General features: G+C 40.6%; 1 protein-coding gene and 1 pseudogene across 6 annotated transcripts in view, besides 2 other annotated features; both read left to right on the top strand.

The window, feature by feature from the left end:
* UBE2W (ubiquitin conjugating enzyme E2 W) overlaps positions 1–20,673 on the top strand; it is a 98,767-nt gene that overhangs the window by 33,401 nt on the left and 44,693 nt on the right. For 3 of the 6 annotated variants that reach the window (NM_001271015.3, NM_018299.6, NM_001001481.4), the window contains 2 exons: positions 14,990–15,081; positions 20,213–20,315. In NM_001271015.3, the coding sequence (NP_001257944.2) occupies positions 14,990–15,081; positions 20,213–20,315 (195 nt within the window). The remainder of the gene's footprint in view (positions 1–14,989; positions 15,082–20,212; positions 20,316–20,673) is intronic. The other 3 variants (NR_073121.3, NR_073119.3, NR_073120.3) reach the window with 1 other exon arrangement.
* Positions 883–1,610: an enhancer, noted in NCBI's record as "H3K27ac hESC enhancer chr8:74756087-74756814 (GRCh37/hg19 assembly coordinates)". NCBI's record gives its function as "activates a minimal SCP1, AML or CMV promoter by ChIP-STARR-seq in naive H9 embryonic stem cells {active_cell/tissue: H9 hESC(naive)}" and the evidence as "EXISTENCE:reporter gene assay evidence [ECO:0000049][PMID:30033119]".
* On the top strand, positions 11,420–11,689 carry RN7SL760P (RNA, 7SL, cytoplasmic 760, pseudogene; annotated as a pseudogene).
* Positions 13,768–13,980: a silencer, noted in NCBI's record as "fragment chr8:74743717-74743929 (GRCh37/hg19 assembly coordinates)". NCBI's record gives its function as "represses an EF-1alpha promoter that drives an FKBP-Casp9 reporter gene in an ReSE screen in HepG2 liver carcinoma cells {active_cell/tissue: HepG2}" and the evidence as "EXISTENCE:reporter gene assay evidence [ECO:0000049][PMID:32094911]".

The following is a 20,673-nucleotide window of genomic DNA, read 5'->3' as shown; positions in this document are numbered from 1 at the left end:
ATCCATTTAACCCTTAGTGGACACAGCACATGTTTCAGAGAGCACGGGGTTGGGGGTAAGGTTATAGATTAACAGCATCCCAAGGCAGAAGAATTTCTCTTAGTACGGAACAAAATGGAGTCTCCTATGTCTACTACTTTCTACACAGACACAGTATCAATCTGATCTTTCTTTTCTCCACATTTCCTCCTTTTCTGTTCGACAAAACCGCCATCGTCATCATGGCCCGTTCTCAATGAGCTGTTGGGTACACCTCCCAGACAGGGTGGTGGCCAGGCAGAGGGGCTCCTCACTTCACAGACAGGGCGGCCGGGCAGAGGCGCCCACCACCTCCCAGACGGGGCGGCGGCCAGGCGGGGGCTGCCCCCCACCTCCCAGATGGTGCAGCTGGCCGGGCGGGGGCTGGCCACCTCCCGGATGGGGTGGCTGGCCGGGCGGGGGCTGCCCCCCACCTCCTGGACGGGGCGGCTGCAGGGCGGAGACGCTCCTCGCTTCCCAGACGGGGCGGCTGCCAGGCGGAGGGGCTCCTCACTTCCCAGACCGGGCGGCTGCCGGGCGGAGGGGCTCCTCACTTCTCAGACGGGGTGGCCCGTCGGAGACGCTCCGCACCTCCCAGACGGGGTGGCGGCGGTGCAGAGACACTCCTCAGTTCCCAGACGGGGTCGCGGCCAGGCAGAGGCTCTCTTCACATCTCAGATGGGGCGGCGGGGCAGAGGTGCTCCCCACATCCCAGACGATGGGCGGCTGGGCAGAGACGCTCCTCACTTCCTAGACGAGATGACGGCCGGGAAGAGGCGCTTGTGACTTCCCAGACTGGGCGGCCGGGCAGAGGGGCTCCTCACATCCCAGACGATGGGCGGCCAGGCAGAGACGCTCCTCACTTCCTAGACGGGGTGGCGGCCGGGCAGAGGCTGCAATCTCGGCACTTTGGGAGGCCAAGGCAGACGGCTGGGAGGTAGAGGTTGTAGTGAGCCGAGATCATGCCACTGCAATCCAGCCAGGGCAACATTGAGCACTGAGTGAGTGAGACTCTGTCTGCAATCCCGGCACCTCGGGAGGCCGAGGCTGGCAGATCACTCACGGTCAGGAGCTGGAGACCAGCCCAGCCAACACGGCGAAACCCTGTCTCCACCAAAAGATACGAAAACCAGTCAGGTGTGGCGGCGCGCGCCTGCAATCCCAGGCACTGGCAGGCTGAGGCAGGAGAATCAGGCAGGGAGGTTGCAGTGAGTTGAGATGGCGGCAGTACAGTCCAGCCTTGGCTTGGCATCAGAGGGAGTCCGTGCAGAGGGGGAGGGGGAGGGGAATTAGCTCTTTTTAATTGGTGTTTTATGCTTTCACAGTGATGTTTAAGTTTGGATTTCTTGTTTATGCTGCTTAGAATTAATTGGGCTTCATTGACCTGAAGGCTGATGTCTTTAACAATTCTGGGAGATTCTCAGGCATTATTATTGTTGTTACTATTATTTTTTTTGAGATGGAGTCTTGCTCTGTTGCCAGGCTGAAGTGCAGTTGCGCAGTCTTGACTCACTGCAACCTCCGTCTCACGGGTTCAAGCAATTTCCTTGCCTCAGCCTCTCGAGTAGATGGGACCACAGGTGTGCACCACCACACATTATTATTTAAGAAACATTTATAGAAAATGTTGCTTTCTGTTCTCTAATTTTTTTTTTTTTTTTTTTGGTGTCTCTACCTTTCATATTTTCATTATCTGTTTCTCTGAGTTATATCCTGGGTAATTTCTTCAGGCCATCTTCCTAAGTAGAAATTCTTTCTTCACCTGTGTTTAGTTTCTTTACTCATTGAGGTTTTCTTTTTTCTTTTAAAGAGACAGGGTCTCTCTCTGTCACTCAGGCTGGAGTGCAGTGGCTAGATCATAACTCACTATAACCTGAACTCCTGGGCTCAAGAAATCTTTCCCCCTCAGTTTCCGGAGTAGCTAGGACTACAGGTGCATACCACCACCATGCCGGGCAAATTTTTTATTTTTTTGTAGAGATGTGGTCTCGCTGTGTGGCCCAGGTTGGTATTATACACCTGGCTGCAAGTAATCTTCCTGCCTTGGCCTCCCAAAGTGTTTGGATTACAGGCACAAGCCATTGTGCTCGGTGAAAAAATTTTTATTTAGATGTAATTTACATGTCATAAAATAGTCCCATTTCTACACTCGATAATTTAAATTTATTTACTCTGTTGTGCAACCATACCCTTAATCTGACTTTAGAACATCTTTATCATGCCCAAAAAGCAACCTTTGTGTCCATAAGTAGTCACTCTCCATTCTCCTTTCCCCAGCCCCTGGCAATCACCAGCTTACCTTCCATCTCTACAGATTTGACTGTTATAGACATTTCATATCAGTGATATCATACAATATGTGGTCTTTTGTGACTGGCTTCATTCAAAAACATCATAATGTTTTCAAGGTTCATTTGTGTTGTAAAATGAGTCAGTACTTCATTCTTTTTGAAGGCGAAATAAAATTCCATTGCATGGTTGTCACATTTTGTTCATTCTTCAGTTAGTGGGCATTTGGGTTGTTTTTTGGCATTATGAATAATGCTGCTATGAATGTTTGTATATATGTTTTTGTGTGAATGTGTTTTCATCATCCATTGAGTTATTTTTTAATTATACAAAAAATACACTTCTACATTTTTGTAAAACAGCCAAATAATATAAAGGCATGTAGTGCAAACAGTATGTCCTCTTTCTCCACTGCCATTTCCAAGTACAAAATAATTGAATGTGTTTTTGGTCCTTTGTGTGCATTTATATGTTGTGTAATTACACCTCTTTTATTTTAACAAATTACATGTATTTTTGAGGCTTGCTTTTTCTTTATTTCAGTAGGTTTTGGAGTTCTTTATTATTTTTTTTGTCAGTACTCACGTCCACGTCATTTTTTTTTTTTTTTTTTTTTTTTTTTTTTTGAGACGGAGTCTCCCTCTGTCGCCCAGGCTGGAGTGCAGTGGCACCATCTCGGCTCACTGCAAGCTCCACCTCCCGGGTTCACACCATTCTCCTGCCTCAGCCTCCCGAATAGCTGGGACTACAGGCGCCCGCCACCACGCCCGGCTCATTTTTTGTATTTTTAGTCGAGACAGGGTTTCACCATGTTAAGCCAGGATGGTCTCAATCTCCTGACCTCGTAATCCACCCGCCTCGGCCTCCCAGAGTGCTGGAATTACAGGTGTGAGCCACTGTGCCCGGCCCCACGTCATTCTTAACGGTTGCATAGTCTTAGTTTGCTATGCTATAATTTGTATAATTTACCTATTGATGGATATATATTTCTAGATTTTGTTTACAGTGAAGCTATTTTATATGTATCTTTCTACGATTCTGAGCAGTGAAATTGTTGCCTCAAAGGACAGAACTTGGATTTCTCCAGGATTTATATTTGTGTTCGTTTCTGCTGGTTGCTTTGAGGCCACCACTTCCTGGACTACTTTTTATTAAATCCTTGCTTAATGTTCTCAGGTAGCAGGAATTCAGGCTATGAATCCATGTGGGTTGAGGTTATGAAATTTCAGGGGAGAATTTTTTTCAGTTTAAAGTAGGCAAATTTCATTGTTGTCTCTTTGCCCATTTTCTTGTTCACCTTTACACTGAGGGATCATAGTTTCAGGTAGCTCCTCTGTTAGCATCTTCACTTTGGTTTTGCTATTGGATTTGTTTGAAATCTCCACGGCAAAATCCAGTCCTAATCCTTACATTTCAGAGTTCCTGCGTTCACTTTGTCTTTGTTTTCTCTGTAATTATCCGGGGTATATACTCTGCCATTGTGCTGGAAAAGAAAGTCTGGTTAGTCCTTGAAACATATTCTTCCTTGGCTTTGTGCATACCACAGTCCTGGTTTTTCTCCTCTTACCACTCTTCTTTTGGACACTACTGTACTCTGAAAGCATGGAGAAATTATTGGCACATTTGTCTCCTTTTGTGGGCTGTGGGCTCTTAAGAGCAGAAATCATTAAGTCTTGACACTTTTTCATTTGTCAGAATTTTAAAAAGTTTAGCTTAAACTAAGAATGAATACCTACATTGCATTCTCTTTCCTGAAAGGGAAAACAGTTTTAATAAGTAACTGTTAGAAATGTCATCAGAATTCAGTAGGAGGGAAAATGCTTCCTTACTCAGCCTGAGTTTAGTTCTGTTTTAAAAAAAAAATAGTAAATTTAATACATTGCCTCACATTTCCCTCTGAAAGGAGAAGTGGCCACTGTTAGAATTCTGTTTCTTAATGTTGTTAGGGAAAAATAATATCTACTTATTAGTGCAGTGCTATTAATATTAATGTGAATGGTGTTTCTGTTTTTTCCATCATACCCTCCTATTTTTAACTTTCCATCTTTAGTTGGTTGTTAGATGAAATTGGAGAAAACATTCTTGGTCATTTTATATACAGTTGTATTAGCAACCATTATATATTCCCACATTTTTTAATGTTTTTTCTTCTCTTGTTTGTACTTTTAACTTCCCTGAATGAGGATTTCTACCCTTTAGGATAGTTTCTCAAAATGTCAAGTTGAGATAAAACTTTACAAAATGTGAGACCTCTATACCTCCCCCATCCCCTTAATTTGCTTTATTTTTCTTCATATTTTAATATATCATATAGTACAGTAGAGCCTTGAAACAACACGAGTTTGAACTCTGTGTGTCCATTTCTATGTAGATTTTTTTCCTCCAATTGCCAGCATTTTATACCTGAGTATCGGAGAGTTGACTTACCTGTATGCGGGTTCAGCCCCTGGGATATGTGGATTTTGGTATGCAAAAGGGGCAGGGCTGGAATCAAGCTCCTGAGGATACAGAAGAACAACTGGATACTTACTTGCTTTGTTTTTATTTATTGACTATCTCTTCCCTCACTGGAAAGTAAGTTTTTTACAAAGTAAGGAATTTTATCAATTTCTTGGTTGATATTTTGCCATTATTAGCATCTCAGAAGGATATATTCTGTTCTTCCAGTTTTGATTCATAACCACAAGAGTATCATTTGAATTTTTTGTGCTTTAATTTTCAAAATGTGTTAATGTGGGATAATACTTTCAGAAATGAATTAGCTTAGAAGCCAGACTAATTTAGAAATGAATGAGCTTTGGCTGGATGTGGTGTCTCATGCTTGTAATCCCAGCCCTTTGGGAGGCCAAGGCAGGCGGATCACGAGGTCAGGAGATAGAGACCATCCCGGCTAACATGGTGAAACCCTGTCTCTACTAAAAATACAAAAAATTAGCCAGGTGTAGTGGCAGGCACCTGTAGTCCCAGCTACTCAGGAGGCTGAGGCAGGAGAATGGTGTGAACCTTGGAGGCAGAGTTTGCAGTGAGCCGAGATCGCACCACTGCACTCCAGCCTGGGCGACAGAGCAAGACTCCTTCTTGGGGGGAAAAAAAAGAAAAGAAAAATGAATGAGCTTTTGGCCAGGCACGGTGGCTCAACACCTGTAATCCCAGTGCTTTGGGAGGCCAAGGCAGGTGGATCACTGGAGGCCAGGAGTTCGAGACCAGCTTGGCCAACATGGTGAAACCCCATCTCACCATGTTTAAAATACAAAATTTAGCCAGGTGTGGTGATGCATGCCTGGAGTCCCACCTACTCGGGAGGCTGAGGCATGAGAATCGCTTGAGCCCGGGAAGTAGAGGCTGAGTGAGCAGAGATTGCACCACTGTACTCCATCCAGCCTGGGTGGCAGAGCAAGATTCTGTTTCAAAAAAAAAAAAAAAAAAAACCAAAAAAGAAATGAATGAGCTTTTTAGGATGCTATTTTGAATACTTGTGGGTTTTTTGTGTTTTTTTTTGAGATGGAGTCTTGTGCTGTCGCCCAGGCTGGAGTGCAGTGGCGTGATCTCGGCTCACTGCAAACTCTGCCTCCTGGGTTCAAGAGATTCTCCTGCCTCAGCCTCCCGAGTAGCAGAAATTACAGGCATGTGCCACCATGCCCGGCTGATTTTTTGTAATTTTGTTTAGTAGAGATGGGGTTTCACCATGTTGGTCAGGTTGGTCTCAAACTCCTGACCTCAAATGATTCACCCACCTTGGCATCTCAAAGTGCTGGGATTACAGGTGTGAGCCAATGTGCCAAAATACTTTTTTTTTTTTTTTTTTTTAACTAGGAGCATTTTAAAAAAATGTCTTCCATGATTCAAAATAACCAGGATCATTTCATTTGATGTAGTAGTATTCATTCTAAACAGTAATGTTCCCTACTGAAGAACCAAGTAGTAGTGCTTTTTCAGTACTGATGTACCTATCATCGCAGCTCTCTGAAATAGCAAACTTAAACTAATATGTAAATATGGGCATTTGTTACCGGTGGAGGGTGTCCAGGTTCTTGGCATTTTGAAGAAAGAATTGGACAAAATGCACAAAGCAAGGAAAGAATGAAACAACAAAAGCAGAGCTTTATTGAAAATGAAAGTACACTCCACAGGGTTGGAGTGGCCAGAGCAGCCGCTCAAGGGCCCCAGATACAGAATCTTCTTGGGTCCAAATACCCCCTAGAGGTTTCCCATTGGCCACTTGGTGTTCACTTCATGTAAATGAAGTGGTGGCCCACAATCAGTCTGATTAGTTGCAGAAAGCAGTCAATCAGAGGCTGAAGTGATGTTACAAAGGTTACAGTCCTGTGCAAACATCTGATTGACCTTTGATGTGAAGCAACCTTTACAGTGATTCTTGGAGAGGTGACAGTGCAAAATAGGGAGAAGTGGGTATATTAATCTCTTGAGCATCCTTTTGATGTTAACTTAAATTTACACCTCAACCCCTGTAGTAACTCCCAGTCATAGGGGAGAGTAAATTTCAGGAATAATCCTTCACATGCATTCAAGCAGAAAAAAGTTTTAGGAACTGAACCCGTGTCATCTCTTTTTCTTTCCCTAGAGACGTGGTCTCACTTTGTTGTGCAGGCTGGTCTCGAATTCCTGGGCTTAAGTAATTCTCCTGCCTTGGCCTCCTAAAGTGCTGGGATTACAGGTGTAAGCCACTGTGCCTGGGCTGGTGTCACTCTTAAGTTTAGGGTCGCATATCGCAGGCTGTTGTAGTGATCTAGAGTAGAGATTTTCAACCAAGGTATTATGACATACAGATCTGGCATTCCGTTTTGTGGTATGTCCCAATACATTGACAATAGTTAATTATGGAATTTGTCAATGGTTTTCTTACCGGGGGGAAAAAAAGGAATAAATTAGTGTGGTTTCATATCATTTATTTTTATGATGAGGAAGGAGAGAAAGGGAGCTGGCTGCTAGCTGGACTATAAAATCACTGAAAAGCCGAGCCAGTTCTGAAAGTATGTAATCATTTACATACCATTATTGGTATTTAGATGTATCAGAATCCTTCTTACTGAATTTGTAAACCTTGGGTATCTTAGAAGAGCTCAGATTCTTGGGTGCTTTGCAGACTTGAACCAACACAAGGTAAGGGCTAGAGTTTTCAGGTTTTCTCCAGATTTGAGATGCTTCAAAACATTTACATTCTGGACCTGACTGGCTTTTTTGGATGGAAGAATAAAAAAAAGGAAACAGCCTCTTCTGGAATGAGATTCTTTTGCAAATAACTTTAGGCCTTTTCGCCCTGGGGAGGATAGATGTCTGTGCACTCCTATGCAAATTCTGGGAATAAAGTGCATATTTAAAGATTTGCTGAAGTCATGTGTTTTGGGGTAGGTGTTAAATACCAAGATAAGAATCAGTTATTAAATTTACTCAGGGCTGGGGGTGCAATGGCTTGCGCCTGTAATCCTAGCACTTTGGGAGGCTGGGGTGGGAGGATCACTTGAGACCAGGCCAGGCAGCACAGCTAAAACCTGTCTCTACAAAGTATATATTTTTAAATCAATTTTAAAAAGTTAACTCAGAAACATACTCGAAGTTTTATTTTTCAGTAGACTTAGGAAAATTAAACTCTTTAATACCACTTCATAATTTTTTTTTTTTTAAGACAAGAGTCTCACTCTGTTGCCCAAGCTTGAGTGCAGTGGCACGATCTTGGCTCACTGGAACCTCCGCCTTCTGGGTTCAAACATTTCTCCTGCCTCAGCCTCCTGAGTAGCTGGGATTACAGACACTTACCACCACGCCTGGCTAATTTTTATGTTTTTAGTAGAGACAGGGTTTCACTATGTTGGCCAGGCTGATCTCGAACTCCTGACCTCAGGTGATGCACCTGCCTCGGCCTCCCAGAGTGCTGGGATTACAGGCATGAGCCACCGCACCCGACCCACTTCATTTTTTTAAATGCACTTTTTCCATATTTTAACATCTTTCAAATCAGGATATGTGTTATTGAAGGTGTGTCATTGTTTAATTGGCAGCAGTTTTTCTTTCCTAGTGACACATAAAATGATGATGCATCTTACAATTGATGGCGTGTCTTAGATTCAGAGGAGAGTAGTATATTTGTGGTTAATTTTCCCATACCTCACCAATTTTGGGACAGACAAGGGTAATATTTGGCTATGAACCACTGGAACCTAATTTCTCATGTCCTCTTCTCCCTTTTCCCCCATGGTTTCTGGGTGTTTCTGCTGCTTTACTTACAGTACTTAACATTCTGCAGTTATTTTCCATTTTGTAGTTATCTCAATCTGTAGCTGCCATTTTCCCTACCACTTGGGAAAGCAGGCCAGTATGGCCATGATGGTTTTATAAGCCAGTGGTGTCATACCTTTAGCAAGTGTTCTGTCCTAAATACTAGTGTTTCTTAACAAATTTGTTAATACTTTGTCTTCATTTATAGGTGAATGCAGCCTCATGTGATTATAGCTTTCTGGATTGTGTGACCTCTAAAAGGTCATACTAGTTCTTCATATTTACAAACAAAATGTGAATTTTCATTTATCTTTACATGCAGCTCTTTAAATCATTTTCTTTCAGCTCTTCCATGTCTACATTTGGGAAACTTAGAACTAGTTTTTTAGAATCACGACTTCAGGATTTTTCCTGCCCTGTCTAATGAACTGTTGTTCTGGGAAGAATGCAACTAAGGGTGAATTCTGTTTTTGTGAATCTGCAGAACAGATACTACACATTGCTTGACCTTTCACTGTTTGTATCTTTTTAAAAAATGTTTTATTTGTGAATGTAGTATGTACTCATTTAACCCCCCAAATGCTGGCCCTTCTCTCTCACTATTTCAGGGGATGTGAATATGCAAGGCAGTTTATTGCCTAGTAGCTAAGAAGGCTGGGGGCTGGCATGAATTGTCTTTTTTTAATGTAATAATTCCACCCCCTCAGTAAAAAAGCATGGTCCAGTGAATGTCTTAGATTGTGACTTAGTGATATTGATGAGGAAGTAGATGACAGTCCCTTCTGGGATGGAGGGGAGGATGGAGCAGTGGTCCTGTATTATCTATCAGTGCGTAACAAACCCTTAAACTTAGCGATTTAAAACAACAAATGTTATTTCACAGTTCCGAGGGTCAGGAATCAGAGGCATAGTTGTTTGATTCTGGCTTAGGGTCCCTCTTGAGTTTGCAGGTAAGGTACTGGCTAAGATAGTAGTCATCTGAAAGCTTGATTTGAATTGAAGGATTTGCCTACAAATCATCACATGGTTATTGGTAGGAGGTTTCAGTTCCTCACTATGAAGGCCTCTGAATTAGGCTGTTCTCAACATGATAGCTTGATTCCTCCAGAGCAAGTGATTTGAGAGAGAGAATTACCAAGACAGAAACCATAGTGTTTTGTTTTGTTTTGTTGTTTTTTGAGGCAAAGTCTCGCTCTCTCGCCCAGGCTGGAGTGCAGCAGCTTGATCTCACTCACTGCAACCTCTGCCTCCCGGGTACAAGCAATTCTCCTGTCTCAGCCTCCCGAGTAGCCGAGATTACAGACGCATGCCACCACGCCCAGCTGATTTTTTGTATTTTTAGTAGAGACAGGTTTTCACCATATTAGTCAGGCTGGTCCCGAATTCCTGACCTCAGGTGATTCACCCACCTCGGCCTCCCAAAGTACTGGGATTACAGGCATGAGCCATCGCACCCGGCCACAGAAACCATAGTTTTTAAAATAATCTAATCTTGGGAGTGACACACCATTTCTGCTGTATTCCATTGGTCACACAGATCAGCTCTGAGGGAGGGAACTACACAAGGGTGTGAATACTAGGACCTTTAGAGTTTGTTGGGAATTATCTTGAAAGTTGGCTATCATAGGTCCCTTCCTTTGTGGAGATGAAAGAAGTCTAAGGGTAAGGAGAAACTTTTTTTTTTTTTTCTATAGAACCCTTTTCCATTATGTTCAGGAGACCAGGGATGATATACCAATAAAGCGCTTTTTTAGTTTAGTTTGCTTTTGTTGTCTTGTGTTTCGCTTGGTAGTTATGCAGATTGATTCTCCTTTATATTCTTGCTTCTCCTACTAAGAAGGATTATCCTTCTTGACTTAGTAAAGTTCTCAAGATCTGGAAGATTTCTGCAGCAGTGTTTCCCAAAATATGGTCCTTGAAACAAGGCTTGAGACGCTCTACAAAGGGTTCTATTATCTTTGGAAACCTCTTTTTTGTTGTTGTTGGGAGTTTTTTGTTTATTTTATTTTATTGAGATGGAGTCTCACTCTATAGCCCAGGCTGCAGTGCATTCGCGTGATCTAGGCTCACTGCAACCTCCGCCTCCCGAGTTCAAGCTATTCTTGTGCCTCAGCCTCCCGAGTAGCTGGGATTACAGGCGCATGCCACCACTCCTAGCTAATTTTTGTATTTGTAGTAGAGACGAGGTTTCGCCATGTTGCCCAGGCTAGTCTTGAACTCCTGACCTCAGGCATTACATGCTCCTTGACCTCCCAAAGTGCTGGAATTACAGGCTTGAGCCACTGTGCCTGGCCTTGTTTAATGTTATTAGAGACAAGTTCTTGCTGTGTTGCCCAGGCTGGACTCCAACTTCTAGACTCAAACAATTCTCCTGCCTCAGCCCCCTGAGTAGCTGGGACTACAGGCATGCATCACTGTGCTCAGCTATTTTTGGAAACCTCTTTATGTCATCTTGCCTTTGGACAATGACTGTACAAGTTAGTATATGGAAAGTTCTGTTGAAGAAGCCAGTTCTTTGTTTGACCCAGTTTTTAAAAAAATGTACGTGATCACAGAACCCTCATTTGTGAATATCAGTAGAAAATAATTAAAACCTTGTTCAAACAGAAATTTGCATAAATTTGTCTTTATTCAAAACAAATTATTTAAGCAAATTTAAAGTCCATTACAGTGATTCACAACACAGTTTTCTATCTGTAGTGGTGTTGGATGGCTAAGCTTATTTTAAGTGACATAAATTGAAAAGACGTAGAAACATTACTTACTGATAGTAATATTTCATTGTCCAGAAAAAACAGAAACCAATTTTTAAGCAGAGTACTCTTAAGAAATGAACAGATATCCATACTTGTCTTCTTCACTTTAAGAAAAGACTTACGCTGGGTGTAGTGTAGGTGCCTGTTGTCCCAGCTATTTGGAAAGCTGCGGCAGGAGTTCTGGGCTGTCATGCACTATGTCGATTGGGTGTCCACATTGAGTTCGGCATCAATATGGTGACCTCTCGGGAGCGAGGGACCACCAGGTTGTCTCAGGAGGAGGGGTGAACGATCCAGGTCAGAAACAGAGCAGGTCAAAACTCCCATGCCAATCAGTAGTGGGATTGCACCTGTGTACTCCAGCTTGGGCAACATAGCGAGACCCTGTCTCTGAAAAAAAAGTCATATTAAGACCCTTTATAATCTTGCATGCAATTTTAATAACATTAGTTATTTGGTTTTAAAATTCATAAATTAGGGACTACTGTGTTTTGTTTTGTTTTGTTTTGTTTTTGCCTGGTTGTACACTGAAAAAGTATGTCCACTGATGATAACAAGGGAAGAGGTGTACAATAAAAGCTGTACAAATAAGCGTGCAAAATACGTAGCCATTTTAGGATACCTAATATGTAGGAAGAAAACCTTAACATATCTCAGATCATAATATGTTGTATTCTGATGTTCTACTATAAACGATGTTCATTAACAATAACCTTGAAATATTAAACTGTGCAGGTGATCATTATATATTAAAATTACTTTAAAATTTTTTAAAAATTATACATATAAAATCATTTAAAATTTTATTAATATTTTCTTTTCTTTTTTCTTATTTCATTCTCGTCACAAGGCATAAAATTTTTGAAAGGCTTTTTGCATAAAGGGTTACTTTTAGAGTTTCTCTGGAAAGCTTGTCTGTGAAATGACATTCTTTAAGGATTATGGAGAACTATGGCTTTTTTTTTTTTTTTTTTTTTTTTGAGGTGGAGTCTCACTCTGTCGCCCAGGCTGTAGTGCAGTGGCGCAGTCTCAGCTCACTGCAACCTCTGCCTCCCGGGTTCAAGCGATTCTTCTGCCTCTGCCTGTTGAGTAGCTGGGACTACAGGCACGCGCCACCACGCCTGGCTAATTTTTTTAGTATTTTTAGTAGGGTTTCACCATATCGGCCAGGCTGGTCTCGAACTCTTGACATTGCGATCCTCCCGCCTTGGCCTCCCAAAGTGCTGGGATTACAGGCGTGAGCCACAACGCCCAGCCGAACTATGGGTTTTATAATTAGAAAGCAGCAAAGGAAGCACTGCTAAAACTTTTAAGCACTTTTAACTCAAGCTGTTAAGACCTTACGCAGGTTGAGCATCCCCAATCTGAAATGTGAAATGCTCCAAAATCTGAAACATTTTAAGTAGCAACATGACACTCAAAGGTAATGTTCATTGGAGCATTTCAGATTCTGGCTTTTTAGATTTGGGATGCTCAACCAGTAAATCCGAAACAGTTCTGGTCACAAGCAGTTCAGATAATGGCTACTCGACCTACAACCTCAATATAGTAGCTATGATGTCTTGATGTTGTATAGGTAACTGCCTATTCGTCATAACTGCTTTACAGCATCAGTGTTGAAATATTTTTTCCAGTGTGGAAGAAATCGATTCGTTTTGTGAACCGAAACTTCAAAGCTATTTTTTTAATGTAAGATTAGCCATTATGCAAAACTTACTGGTCAAGCAGTTAATAAAATACACGTATCCCATTGAAGAGAATACACATATCCCATTCAGTTTTTGTACATAACAAGGCAATTAGAAACCCTGAAAGTTTATTTGCTTCTTTTTGTTATGATTTTTCTAATTTTTGTTTTATTTTTGAGACAGAATCTCACTCTGTAACTTAGGCTGGAGTGCAGTGGTACAACTATAGTTCACTGCAGCCTTGGCCTCCTGGGCTCAAAAGATCCTCCTACCTTATCCTCTGAAGTACCTGGGAGTACAGGTGCATGCCCCTACACCTGGCTAATATATATATATATATTTATTTATTTTTTTTGTTTGTTTGTTTTTGTAGAGACAGGGTCTCACTATGTTACCCAAGCTGGTCTCAAACTGCTGGGCTCAAGCATTTTCCCCGTCTCTCCCTCCCAAAGCGCTGAGATTGTATTCATGAGCCACCACACGTAGCCTACTTTCTTTCCTTCATAAATCTGCCAGTCTTTGGGAACTCGTGTTAAAAATTCTAGAAGCTTTTCTAGCTGTAGTTTGAGCATCAGGTTGAACTTTCTCTTCTTTTGCAGTTTGCTTGTATTTTAAAAGCAAATCAGGGCTGGCACAGTGGCGCACACCTGTAATCCTTTGAGAAAGCAGGGTGGAAGGAGCACTTGAGGCCAGGAGTTTAAGACCAGCCTGTGCAACATAGTGAGACCCTGTCTCTACAAAAAAAAAATTTTTTTTTTTAATTAGCCAAGCATGGTGTTGAACACCTGTAGTCCTAGCTACTCAGGAGACTCAGGCAGAAGGACGGCTGGAGCCCAGAAGTTCCAGGCTGCAGTGAGCTAGGATTGTGCCACTGCATGCCTGCTGGAGTGACAGAGTGAGGCCCTGTCTCTTAAAAAATAAACAACAACAAACCTAGTCAAACTTTAAGCAGCTACTGTAGCTGTTGTACTTCGTGAGATTGAAAATCCAGTCCTGGAGTTCCTGGAACATCAGAGGATGTGGTTCTTCCAGGATCTTTTTGTTGAGTGAAAAGATCTTTTGTTGAGTGAAAATATATTCTTTTTGACTTGTGGCGAGGCCTTACTGGAAAGAAAGGTCATGTAGACCTCCTTTGCCTTTTCTTGCATCTGCTTATCTTGCATTAAAAAAAGAAATCTTTACATGCTAGCCAAAACAAAATATTTTCTTCATTGAATATCTTTTTAAAAAATTTCCTTAATCTTTTCATGCCTTCTAGGTCTTCCAGCAGATTCTCCAGGAAAGCCACCCATTTGGCTGTGCTCTTGAGGCTCTGGTGGCTGCTGCCAGAACTACTATTACTGCCATAGATGTATTTACTGGTTTATAGGAAAGAATATTATAATGCATACAGATGAAGAAGTACATGAGGGAAGGGATGTGGAGTTTCCATGTTCCGTTCCAGATGTGCCACCCTCCAGGAAACTCCATACATTCAGCTGCCTGGAAGCTCTAGTGTTGAAATAGTTTGACAATAGATTGTGAATTATAGGACAGGCTATTCAAATTTTGAGCAATATGTATATAGAATATATAAGGGGCTAGTAAAGAGAAAGGTATGAACATTTGGAGGAAATTTAATGATTTCAGATTGTAGAAGGATATTATCAAGGATAACTGGAAAGATGTTATGTTGTTTTTTTAAAAGTGCAGGCTGAGTGTGGTAGCTCACACTTGTAATCTCAGCACTTTGGGAAGCTGAGGTTGGGAGAATTGCTTGAGGCCAGGAGTTCACTACCAGCCTGAGCAACAAAGTGAGAACCCCATCTCTACCAAAAAAAAAATTAGCTGGGCATTGTGGTGTGTGCCTGTAGTCTCAAGCTACTTGGGAGGCTGAGGTGGGAGGATTCCTTGAGCCCAGGAGTTTGAGGATGTGGTGAGCTGTGATCACACCACTGTACTCCAACCTGGGTGACCCAGACCTAGTCTCAAAAAGGACAAATTATTATTGATGTTCTTTTCTAGAAACGACTACAGAAAGAACTGTTGGCTTTGCAAAATGACCCACCTCCTGGAATGACCTTAAATGAGAAGAGTGTTCAAAATTCAATTACACAGTAAGTATTTAATTTTAAAAGGGCTCTTTGTTTTATTACCAATAATGTATGAATGTTCACCCGCTTTTTAAAACTACAAAATTATTTTCACATTTCATTCTTTCACCAAGAGGTAAATAGAGTAAACAGATCTTATTCTGTGCATTTATATATATAATCAATTTTGTTTTACGGCATTATAAACATTGTTGCATAATTTGTAAAGCTGTTTTTAAACTATCTTTGGTACATTTTTAAAAAATTTTGTTTAACTGAGTAGCACTGACTTTGTTTATGAAGTGATTCTCATCTATAATATTAAAGAACTGTTTGGTGTGAGGTTTTATCAAATTAAAAATATGTATCTATTTAGGCATATGAAGAGAGTAATAGTCAAAAGGTATCCCATGCCCTAAAAACATCAATTGCGTCCTGTACAGAAGGGCAACAAAGTGAAAGTGTGACTCTCAGCAGTCATTTAATAATTTTATTAGACAGTGGTAAATGTTCTGAAATCATGGAGAAATCTAAAATAATTTATCCTCCACTTAAAAAAAACCTCTAAAAAGAAAAGGAAAAGTGGCCAATAAGATAAAAATTGATTGTAAACCAACTTGTAGGACAAATGAGCCAATTCAAATATTTAGTGTAGTCTAGGTCCAGGGAGTGAAAGTGACCAAAATTCATATAACTTACCCTTTCAGAGGAAACAGTTTTGGGTACCTTTGACTTTGGCATTTGTATCAGTACCTAAGACAGGGGTCAAAGCTTTAAGAACAAGCATATTACGAATGGATGTATAGACTCTTTTGGAAAAAAAAAAAAATGTAATACACATCTTTAACTCTGTAACAATCACTTAAAAATATTGTTGAGTTCTAAACTGATTTTTTGTATATATCATACATAGAAAATATTAAACTCTTGTTCTAAAACAACCAAAAATGGAGCATACATTTAGAGTGGCATTTGTTGCATATTATTAAACAAATGAAACTGACTCTTTTTTCATCCTGATGCAGATTATATCCCATTTTAATCTTTTTCCTCTCTCCTTTTCTTAACCTACCTCAGAGTATCCTGTAACAGCTGTCCCTATAGTTCTCAAGGAAAGTGATAATAATGAGATTACTTCTTCTTTCATCGTTTATTTTTTTGGGAGGATGGGGAAACCACACAACACAATAATTTATAAAAAGTTAAAGGACTGTTTTAAATTTTTACAAATAGAAACATTTTAATAGATTACCAGGTAGTTATACCACAAATTATAACAGCCAAAGCAACAATACCTTTGTTGTAGAGTAAATCCTATTATATCGAGATATTGGTCAGGCAAGAATTTTTCTTTTAAAATAATTTATTGTAAATGAACCATAAAATTTTTACCTTTGTGCCATCTTCTAGGCTATAAAATAGTCTTATAAAGAATCAGATTGTTAAGAGTATATGAAATGTGGATATGGATGTGGAAGATCCATAACGAGGATGATGAAAGCACATTAAGAAGCTTTCTGATGGGTACAAAAAATAGAATGAAGAAGATCTAGTATTTGAGAGCACAACAGGGTGACTATAGTCAACAATAATTTATTGTGCATTTTCACATAACTAAAAGTATAATTGGATTGTAACAGAAAGGATAACTGCTTGAGGTGATGGATACCCCATTTACCCTGGTGTGATTATTATGCATTGTGTGCTTGTATCAAAATATCTCATGTGCCCCAAAGATATATACACCTACTTTGTACCCACAAAAACAATTTTTTTAATTTTCTGGAAGAAATTTGGTAGCATATATTGAGACCTTAAAAAATATGAATACTATCATGTTTGACCTACCATACACCATCCTAGGAAAGTAACAGATCTAGAAAAAGACTTAGAACTAACTATACTCATTTCGACATTGCTAATTCTAGGGATAATTTGGGAATAGTGTAAATGTCAATAATATGGAAAAGGTTTGTCAAGGCAGTGCAGTGAAATGGCATCACTTGAATTATAGTCTGTAGTCAGCATGTAAGGTAAAAATTTTGTATAGTTATAATTACCTTTGAAAAATCCTTTAGGAAGACCTTACTGGTATGTATCCTCTTTTAATAAATCCACCAAAGCCAGTTTTTCCTCCAGAGTGGAATAGATGGTTGTGTCTTTGATTAAGAACCATGATATGTGAAGAAATAAAAAAAATTCTAATGCTTAAACATTAGAATTACAGAGTACTAGGTACTCACGGGTGTTAAAGAACTGAGACTAATTGAGAGAACAACACGTGTAGTCTCATTGCATCCTTACTCTGGGGCATATGCTTGTGATTGGAATCATAAACCCTGATGGTTTAAATTGATGTAATTTAAGTGTGCACAAAATGCAGCTACTGGGCTGCCATTTCATATAGGCTTCGATGGTATAGGAAACAGCAAAATGACTAGAATGAAATATACCCCCAAAAACTTTAACAGTGGTTATCACTGGGTGATTTTTGTTTATACTTTTCTGAAGTTTCTACAATGAACATATCTTAACTTTTTTAACTAATACAAACTTATTAGTCCTGGCATGGTGGCTCATGCCTGTAATCTCAATGCTTTGAGAGGCTGAGGCGGGGCAGGAGGATCCCTTGAGCCCAGGAGTTCAAGACCGGACTGGGCAACATAGGGAGATCCCATCTCTACTGAAAAAAAGAAAAAAATTAAAAGTTGGCTGGGCATGGTGGTGTGCACCTGTGGTCCCAGCTACTTGGGAGTCTGAGGTGGGGGAGTCACTTGAGCCCAGGAGGTCAAGGCTGCAGTGAGCCCTGATTGCACCACGGTACTCCAGCCTGGGTGACAGAGTGAGACCCTGTCTCAAAACAAAAGGATTATTAGAAAGTACCATGCACAGGCCAGGTGCGGTGGTTCACACCTGTAATCCCAGCACTTTGGGACGCCGAGGCGGGCAGATCACCCGAGTTCGGGAGTTCGAGACCAGCCTGAAAAACATGGAGAAACACCCTCTCTACAAAAATACAAAAAATTAGCCGGGTGTGGTGGCTCATGCCTGTAATCCCAGCTACTTGGGAGGCTGAGGCAGGAGAATCACTTGAACCCAGGAGGCGGAGGTTGCGGTGAGCCGAGATCACGCCATTGCACTCCAGCCTGGGCAACAAGAGCAAAACTCTGTACCAAAAAAAAAAGAAAGTACCACGCACCATGTTGAAAGTTATGCTGCCTTTGACCTCGTGTCAGTATCTGCATGTCATGCAGATATTACAAGGATTGATGAGATACTTGCTTAGCTCTTTATTTTTAAAAGCTGTGCTTGTTTGTATAGGTTACATGTTAATTTATGTTATGTGTCCTAAAATTACCATATAAACAGAATGAAAGACCACCGTTTTTCCTGGGAATATCACTGTGCCTAGTGGATGTGGGTGGAAAAATAAGAAAGGAATTTCGAAGATTAAGAAGGACCTAATATATAAAGAGATAGTTTTTTGTTTTGTATGCAGCTTTTGCATTGCATTTAATTTACCATGTATTGACTGAGTCAGGAATGTGCTAGGTTTTTTACGTATGTAGGGTCATTTATCTTTCCAACAACACTATGAGGTGATTATCTTCTGTTTTATTATTGAGGTAGTTAAAACTGGAGAGATAACATAACTTGTTCACACAATGAGTTAAGATTAACTATAACTGCGACTTCAGTATAACTTCAGTTATAACTGTCTAATTTCACTATAAAATATTGTCTCTTGGGTCTGTGGTCGTATCTTTTATTACCATGTATGGTACTCAGCGTGCATTCTTAAAATGAATAGCCATGCTCTTAAGAGTCTGTATACTGTAGCTGATTTCTTTTAGAGAATAGGTACATTTATTATTTTACATAATCCAAGGTTCATAGTATGCGTGGTGATGACTAGAATCCCAACACTGTATTTTCTATCTTCCTTTTGTTTTCTTGTATTTTAAATACAAGAAAGTTTAATAACTGAAAAGTTCAAGAGAATTGCCCAGGTGTACAAGAATTATAAGTGACAGAGCTATAATTAGGAACACATTGTTAATGACTTCAATTCACTTTTGCTTCTAATGCTGCCCTGTTATCTTTGCTGTCATTATCCCTTATTCTTCCCATCTTAAAGAAAATAACAAGAATAGTATATAAACTGTAAATAACACATTTATGTTTATGATTGTTATATATGAAAACAAAGGCTTGCATAGATGGCATAGAAATGGGCTTTATTAAACAATTGAAACATAGTGAGAGATAAAGGAAAGTCACCACAAAGCCTTGCTTAATCATCAGAGTAAGTGGACTGATGTCAATTTAGCTCCCCTTGCCCTGTTAATCTTCTCTAGGATGTTGATGAAAAAAATAAGTCTGACAGCTACGGTTCTCTGTGGTCATTGTCTATACGTATTTCTCCATGGCTTCCACCAGTAATAATCAGAGGCAGTTGCTTTGTTTGATGTTATGTATAGAATACGTAATATCAGCATTGTAGAAATGGTACTTTGAAAAAATAAGGTAGTATAAATCAATTAGGAGGAGCACAGGCTTTGGTGTCAGTGCACCTTAGTTTGAGGTCTGTTTGTTTGTTTATTTTGAGACAGTCTTGCCCTGTAGCCCAGGCTGGAGTGCAGTGGCATGATCTTGGCTCACTGCAACCTCTGCCTCCCGGGTTCAAGCGATTCTCCTGCCTCAGCCTCCTGAGTAGCTGGGATTACAGGTGCACACCACCATGCCCGGCTAATTTTTGTATTTTTAGTAGAGACCGGTTTCACCATGTTGGTCAGGCTGGTCTTAAACTCCTGACCTCGTGATCTGCCTGTCTTGGCCTCCCAAAGTTCTGGGATTACAGGTGTGAGCCACCACACCCGGCCTTGGGTTTTATTTAGTTTGCTTTTTTAGACCTGGCTCTGTCTTTTGCTAGCTGTCTGACCTTGATCTGGTTATTTCACCGCTGAGTGTCAGAGAAGGGGATAGGTCATGAGAATTAACAGTAAGAGAGTTATTGGGAGGCTGGCATGTGCTGTTACACATAACCAACTCTTGTCCTAGTGCTTAGTGTATAGGAAGTACTTGGTGTCCTCTTTTCTCCTCCTTACCCCAGTCTCTATTATCTTAAGTTTTTAATTTGCCTTTTCTATTCTAGGTGGATTGTAGACATGGAAGGTGCACCAGGTACCTTATATGAAGGGGAAAAATTTCAACTTCTATTTAAATTTAGTAGTCGATATCCTTTTGACTCTCCTCAGGTAATTGCCTTGCTTTAAATTTTTTTTTTTGTATTTTTAGATAGCTAAATGCCAGAGATGTTTGACTCAGTAAAAACATATAAATCAGTTATACGTATGTAGATGGATTTGTTATTTCATTATCTTATTTGTCATATAATCAAGATATGAACATTACACTTTATTGGGATTAGGGCTTTACTGCATTTTGCTTCTAAAATTGTTTCATTTGTTGCTTATCCATAAATGCTAACAGAAAAGGGAATAGAAATCTAACCAGGCCTCTAGGCCAGGGGTCCCCAACCCCCATGCTGTGGACTAGTACTGGTCCATGGCCTGTTAGGAGTCGGGCCACACAGGAGGTGAGCAGCATTACTGC

Source organism: Homo sapiens, chromosome 8, assembly GCF_000001405.40.
Source record: "Homo sapiens chromosome 8, GRCh38.p14 Primary Assembly".
Lineage (NCBI taxonomy): Eukaryota > Metazoa > Chordata > Mammalia > Primates > Hominidae > Homo > Homo sapiens.
The sequence above is the reverse complement of the archived record's forward strand: the minus strand, read 5'-3'. Positions and strand labels throughout refer to the sequence as shown.